Source organism: Homo sapiens, chromosome 2, assembly GCF_000001405.40.
Source record: "Homo sapiens chromosome 2, GRCh38.p14 Primary Assembly".
Classification (NCBI taxonomy): domain Eukaryota; kingdom Metazoa; phylum Chordata; class Mammalia; order Primates; family Hominidae; genus Homo; species Homo sapiens.
Window position 1 is genome coordinate 14,623,292 of NC_000002.12, and position 8,217 is coordinate 14,631,508.

The following is an 8,217-nucleotide window of genomic DNA, read 5'->3' on the forward strand; positions in this document are numbered from 1 at the left end:
AAACAGCCTCCTCCTTATCTCTTCCAGAGTTAATAATTCCCTCTTCTGTGCTTTTAAAAAGTTTTATTGCTTCCATTAGTTTGCATTTGTTCATATCTTAGCCACCCCTCCACATATAATGTGAGCTCCACTGAGAACAGGGAATGTGTCTTCTGCACCTTTGCAACCCAGGTCTAAGTCCTATCTCTGATTCACAGAAGCTCAATAAATGCTTTGAAATAAAATGTGAAAGTTAACACTATGGATAGTATCTAAGGTATATTCTAAATCAAACATTTAAGCTTATTACTATGTGCTCTAGAGTAATAATAATGAAATACTACGGAATGTTAAAAAGAAGGAATATAGAAAAAGAAAATGTTATTGACTCAGTAGGGTAGGATTCCTTAATAAGACCTGATAGTGCCCGGGCATGGTGGCTCACGCCTGTAATCCCAGCACTTTGGGAGGGTGAGAAGGGCGGATCACCTGAAGTCAGGAGTTCGAGACCAGCCCAGTCAAGAGGTCAGGAGTTCGAGACCAGCCTGGCCAACGTGGTGAAACCCTGTCTCTACTAAAAATACAATAATTAGCCGGGCGTGGGGGTGCATGCCCGTAATCCCAGCCACTTGGGAGGCTGAGATGGGAGAATTGCTTGAAGCCAGGAGGCGGAGGTTGCAGTGAGCTGAGATTACACCATTGCACTCTAGCCTGGGCAACAAGAGCAAGACTCCGTCTCAAAAAAAAACAGGTCTGATACTTACTAACACCTTATTCTGGGTTAGATGCTGTGCTAAGCGTTTTAGTATATTATTTTATTTAATACTCATCAAAACCTTTTAAGGAAAAATACTATTATTCATATTTGAAAGATAAATAAACTGAGACACATGGGAACTAGGCATCTTCCCTAAAACCATACCGTGAATAAGTAGGTGAGCCAGAATTTGAATCCAGGCACTCAGAATAGAACCCTGAGACTAAAGCTGACCTACGGTAGGAGAACAAGCTCAGACACTAGGATCAAAGGCAAAGACACAGAGAGCAACTAAGACAATATTAGAGCAAGAGGGATGAGGGAATGGAAACATGAGGACATGAGTAAATTGAGCTCCTTGCTCTTAGTAATTTAGAAATGGGCTGAGAATTTGCTGGTAGGAGTGGCATGTTAAGTACATGTTTTAAAATAAAAACCATACTTTATTAACTATGTGCTATGTCTGTAGTTAGATTCATTTTGACAAATTGAAAACAAATAAATACCTCATTATGATAAATTTACCTCATTATGATAAAGATAATTACTAAGGAAGGAAAACAAAATAAATCATCATTGGTAGCTATAAAAAAGTGCCATGACACCAGAAATAAACACCTAGAAGAACAAGTGAAACACATATCTAAGCAGGCACTTTACTGTTTTAAATAAGCACATATCTACTTTTTTAAAAAAATTTGAAGGTATCTCTATCAATCAGCAATGCATTTATTGCAAGTTTTCCATAGATTCCCTACCCTGTGCTATCGGTTGTAGGAAAATTTAAGTAAGGAGGAGGAGGTAGGTAGAGGAAATAGAAAAAGAGAGAGAGAAAGCACCTTTGACTCCCAAAGCTATCACTCTCAATTCAAATTCATTTGTATTCAATCAATGTGTATTAAACTTCCACCTTGCAGCATGGATCGTGCTCAATGATGGAAATACTGGTGGGAACATCATAGATACAGTCCCTCCCCTAAAAGCTCATAGTCTCATAGTGGATACAGACACAGAGCTAGGTAGTGACAATATTACAGGGAAAGGACAGAGAACAGTAGGAACACCTAGTGGGGCACCCAAGGCAGATTTTGTAAGTCAGAGAAGGCTGCCAGGAGGAAGTGAAATCTAAACCGAGATGAAGAAAGAAATTTTTGTCAAAAGAAGATTGGAAGAAAGAATCTCAGCAGAGGAAACATAAGCAGTAACATAAGAAACAGCACAGGCTCTCAATGAGGCAGAGTATAGTTAAAAACAAACAAATAGGCCAGGCAGGATGGCTCACGCCTATAATCCCAGCACTTTGGGAGGCTGAGGCAGGCAGATCACTTGAGGTCAGGAGTTCATGTCTTGCCTGGCCAACATGGTGAAACCCTGTCTCTACTAAAAATACAAAAATTAACCAGGAGTGGTGATGGGCGCCTGTAATCCCAGCTACTCCAGAGGCTGAGGCAAGAGAATTGCTGGAACCTGGGAGGTGGAGGTTGCAGTGAGCCGAGGTCACACCACTGCTCTCCAGCCTGGGCGACAGAGCAAGACTCTGCCTCAAAAACAAACAAACAAACAAACAAACATACAAACAAGCTTAATCAGAAAGGCTGAAGCAAGAAGCAAGAGGGCAGGTAGCAAAAGATAAGGTGGAGCAGTAAACAAGGGCAAGATCATGAATCTGCCATATGGTTGTTCAATATTTTCCTGAGGGCAACAGAGAGTTACTGAGAGTTTCAAGCAGGGAAGTGACCTAAAAAATGTACATTTTAGAAATCACTCTGTATACAGTACAGGGAGATGACCACGGGGAACAACAATGTTGGGGTTGGGGGAATAATTCGTAGCCAACTGCAGCAACGTAGATGGGAGTGCCTGGTGCCTGGGACTAAGGTGAGCTGTAGGAAGGGACTAAAGGGGACAGATGAGAAAGAATATGCATGAGGGAGACGTAACAGGAGTTGGACATGGCCATATGTAGCCCGGGGTAAGGGAAAAGTGATAGATAATGCCCAGGCACTGGCTTGCAAAACTGGGACGGTAACAGTGCCTATCAGCAAAATGAAAGACAAAAAGAAAAGCAAAAGAAGTGCTCAGAGCTTGGTACATCCTGGCCTTTCCATGTCTGTGGAACTGCCACAAGGATGTGTCTTCTAGGCAGTTAGATGTTTGGGTCTATAGTTCCATTAGGGAGTTATCAGATAGACATGGGATGAAAGCCAAAGAAGCAGACAAGATCACCTTCAATATGACTTTTCCAAAAGCCAGTCAATGAGGATGCATTGAGAAGAGAACGTGGAAACAGAAGAAGTCCTGAAGAAAACCACTATTGAAAGAAGTTAAAGGAAATCAGTCCACAAAATGTTGTAAGATGAATAGCCAGAGAGGTTGAAGGAAACCAGGAGAGTGAATGTAGTACAATGGAAGGAAAGGAAGAGCCTAGCTCAACAAGGAAGAAGTTGTCATCTGTGCACATGCTTCTCAGAAGTAAGGTAAGAACCCAAAAACATCCATCACATTCAATGCTGATGAGATCACTGTTCCCCTTGGTGAGAGCTGCTCAGTGATGGAGCGATGGTTGCACAAGACAGCCTGTGGTGGATTGGGATAAACTGCAAGATGGGAGAGTATCTCAAGGGAGAGGTACAGTTAGGAGATGTTTTTACGATGTGAGAGACAAATATGACTCCATGCAACTGGGAAGCAGTTAGGAGAATAGGTGGGGTTATATACGAAGGTGGAGAGAGGGGTTTTATTAAAATTGTGAGGTCCTTGAGAGGGCACAAACAGGTGGCATTCAGAGCCCAGGTTGATGTACTTGTCTTTGCCAGGATGGGGCCAGCAAAGGCACTAACAGAAGGGCAATCCAGATGCAACACAAAGAGCATAAAAGTTACTCTTTGCAGAGACAGAACCAAGATTTTCATAATCAGTCAATCAGTAGCCTAAAAGGGAATTTGATACCTAGGAACAGAAAGTTTTCCTGTTTATGCAGGTTTCTGCTCTAACCACAGCCTATGAGCACAGTGGGCGGGGGCACGGAGTTTGAGCAAGGAGAAAAAAAGATAAAGCCTCAGCTCTACCATGCACCTGCAATATGACTTTTAAACAAGCCACTTGACTTCACAATGCAAACTGATACCTTTATTTACCAGCTTCGTATGAGCAAGTCTAAAATGAGTCTCACTGCTGTTGAAATGAACCAGAGGATGTCTAGAGAATGAAATTCCAAGTATTTATTAAGTGCCTACTCCTCAAGGGCTGTCCCTGTACTTAAGAAGAATATTTTTTTTGTTACATTTGAGTAGCATTTGACTTGTAATTACTACACAGCATCCAAAATGCCTGGAAAGACTGTTCAAAATGCAAATTTCCTAGAGCCAATCCTAAGATTAAGTTTCAGTAGCTTGGGAATAGAGCCTGGGAATCTGCATTTTTATCAGGTTCCCTGATGATGCTAGAGGACCATTTGGAAACCCAACACTATACATCACATAGCACACCTTCCCACACATTGTCTAATTTAATACATGTGTAGGGTATTGAAGCGTTCAAATTAGAGAAAGCTGAAACAAACACAAATACCGACACCTCACTAACTAAAACAGAGACCATTATTCACGTGCGCCTTGAGTCAGGCAAGGTGTATTTATTGAGTGCACATTGCACCAAACCCTATACTTGGCAAAGAGAATATGGACTTGAATTCGATTTTGGACTTTTCTTCAAATATTCTTTAGTCTATTAATAAGGAAAAAGAGGAACGTCAACCCATGATGCCAGCTCAATTTGATAAGTGTTTTGACAAATTTCTGACATATCTTGTGTCCAATATACAGATGGTGCTATGGAAGCATAAAGGAGGGTCTCAATTAGAGTGGGCTGAGGGGACAGATATATTGGAGGGGCTGACGCTTGATAACCTGGGTTATTAATTTTGAGTGGAGGTTAGATCAGACAGGCAGGGAAAGACATTCCAGAGAAAAAGAAGAGTAAGCAGTGTGTCTGTAATAGTGACCCATGCCTACCCAGGAAAGTTCAACCATCACTCATATGGGGAAGTGGGCCCAAACAAAAGGCATGAACTATCCTAAAATTGGGAGAGAACACAGAGAAAAATGAATGCTAGGTGAAGATATCTTTGTATAATCCACAAAAAAATAAAATATTAAACCAATTAGTGCTAAAGGTTTTACCCAGGGAGCATTCATGAGTCTTTAATGGTTCGCTGATAAGAAGCCACAAAAGACACTTTAATATGAACACTCAGTTATGGGAAGGAAATTAGAGAACATGGAAATGTGGAAGCCAAACTTGGAAATGGGCACTGAAGAGGAAATTGATAGCCAGAGTGTCAATGCATGCATGCGGGTTAAGGGAAGCAGGATACCAGCTGCAAGAAGTTTACTGGGAGGGGTTTCCCACGCCATTGTTGTGGTCTACAAAAGTAGAAAGCAGGTAAGATGTTCAGAGAGCTGGGTAAGTTAGTCACATGGAAGCTGTGAAAATTTCTAGAACAAATAGTAGGGAGATATGGGGTAGTACCTAGAGGGGAGAGAAGTGTTCATTAGTGATTTCTTTACATTCTAGGTGATGTGAACCTGCTGAAATGCTGCAGGGATTTCAGGCAAGTTAGCCTTGGCAGTGAGAACAGATACAAAGAGAGAAGGAGGTAGGAGGTGTGTGTGGGGACGGGGGAAGTGGGGGAGATTTTTATTGTTCTGAGATAGGTCTAAAATGAAGGACAGTATATCAGTCAGTACAGGCTAACTGCTATAATAAATAACCACACAATTTTGGAGTGGCTTAACCCAAGAAGATTTATTTCTTCACAGTCCAATGCAGTTTTCTTGGGAGGGGAAATTATCAGCTCTACACAGTCATTCAGGAGCTCCGGCCTTCTTCCATCTAGTGGCTCCTCCATCTCTTAGATCCTAGGAGTCCTACCATGAATCCTCTACAAATGGCCAAATTGGCAAAAGAAAGCTCTGGAAGATTGTGTTAATAATAGTTTCAGTTTCAGGAGCTTTCAGGAGCGGCACCTGGGAGTGGCTTATTCTACTTCCACCCACATTCCATTTGCCAGAACTCAGTCACAGGGCATGGGGCAAATGACTGCAGGCATGCTGGGACTTGTCATTTAGCTGGGTGCCCAGAAGGAAGGGAAATGGGATTGGTGAAGCCATATAACCATCTCTAATCCAGATGGACACAGAGTATTCTTTAGCTCAGACCAGGGTGAGTATGTTAACTGCCTAAGGCAGTGAAGGACAGGAGATGGAACAGTTCATTTCATTAAAGGATAAAGTGGGGCATATAATTTTCCTGAACCCTTACTCCAAGCTCCAAGGCCAATTTTAAAGGATGACAGTTTGAGCCAAGGACCTGTTCAGTAAAATTTGGAGTAAAGCTTTTCAAATAGTGCCAAAGAAGCAACCAAAAACAAAAAAAAAAAAAGAGAGAGAGAGGATACATCAGATGGCACCAGCAGAAAAGATCACATACATTTGATTGACTCCTAATCACTCCCCTGTAACTTTTTTCCCCACACAAATTCCTCACACCGGAAATGTTCATTTAAAACAATTAAAAATCCTTCAGGGAACCCCCACCCCACTCCCTGCTACCACATGATCAGCCCAGGGGCTCACATGCTGAAATCTATAGAGAGCTTTAGGTCTCAGAGTATTTGAAGGATAGGCAGGGATCTCACCACCTTAACACAGAAGCAGTCCTACACCCCAATCAGGGAAAGCCTTGGACACTATCTATTGCTACCTTTAGCCTGGGGCAAAGGAGAAAGAGAACTGCACAGCTGTCCTAAACAAGTAGGGTATGAGACCTCTCTCTTCCACCAAGAATAATAATAAGATAGCCTTGATTGAAAACTCACTGTGCGTCAGACACTATGCTTACATGTATGAACTCACAACAATTCAGTGAGGTAACCACTATTATTATCTCTTTTTTACAGATAAGGAAGTTTCCTGATGCCCACAAAGTTTAAATAACGGACTCGAGGTTACCCAGCAATAAATGTTGAAAAAGAGTTTAAATTAGTTGGCTTTCAGAGTTTGTGTTTTGGACAACTATATTCTACTTTGGACAGCACTGTATTTTCTCATTGTAAAAGCAGGCAGGATGGAGTAAAAAATAAAAGTCAAAACAATTTGAAAACAATATTTTGTGATGAACATAAAACATTTTCTACAATCAGCATCCTTCATTTGATTGTCTTACTTTATTATCTGGTAAGTGCCAAAAGAAGACAAAGTGTAGATGTATTTTCCTTAGTTTACTTTTAGCTCCCTTTATTTCAAGCCTCACAGTCAATGTGTTCCCTGCCTTATGTTTCAAGGGGGCTCCAGGGTATTTTTTCTCCCATGTGATTACAAAAGCAGTTAGCCGTTTAGCCTAGCAGGGGGAATGAGAGGAAACGGAGAGGCCAAAAATTTTAAACTTTAGGCACTATATCTCCAATAACTGACAACATTTTATCTTAATTATGCTTTATAGTATTGGAATACTAAACAAAGAGGAACGACCTGCTTACTCTGTAGTCTGGAGCAGAATGAAATAGAACACGTAGGGCAGAACACAACAAATGAGTTGTAAATGTCTGTGCACAAGGCTTGATCTTGGGGATGGAGGGAGGATATTTTTTAAGTTATTCAAACGCTGAGTTGCTTTCAAAGAGTTCTTCTCAGACATCAACAATGAACTCTTCAGATACCCTCATCCCAGACAGCCCTGAAGTCCAGTTTATAACAAGACCAATAACTCACTCCTTATCTCTAAAGCTACTTGTTCAATTCTCTTGACTTCAGGGCCAAAATGAGTTGTTTATTACTTATGGCAAGTATAAAAAAGGCCATCTCAACCTGTGGTCAGTTCCACGAATGGCAACTTGTTTTCTGATAACTTGCATGCACATGGACAATAGCCAAATTTCCAAAAAGATTTAGGTACATCAATTGTATACCGATGGTCATTTAAAACCATTTTTTCCAGCAATATTTTAGCATCTAATTTGATAAATCACTGCATTTGGAGGCTGTGGGGGTGTACAGAGACCTTCAGAAAGCAAACATAAACTGGAGGCTTGGCGGTTTGAAGATATTCAAGCAGAAAAGTCTAGCAAAGAAAAAGGGGGTTGTAATATGGATCAGTCTCCATGTAACCTTGAGCCAATCATCTAACTTCTCTGAAACACCAGTTTTCTCATTTTATGAAACAAGATTTTATTCAATAAACACTATAACTTAGTGAAAGACTGGATCTGGTATCCCGTAGGCTTGGATGGATTGCTGGTACTAGTATTGGAGCTTTTGTTTCCCTGTTTGTTACAATTCGGATATTAGTGAGTACCCTACAGAGGAATAATGATTAAATTGTCTACTTAATTTACTCTTAAGTGTCTGACCACGTATAAGTGGTCAATACAGGCTGTTTTCATTTTTACTATTACTGATGGAACACACTGCATGACTAGCATT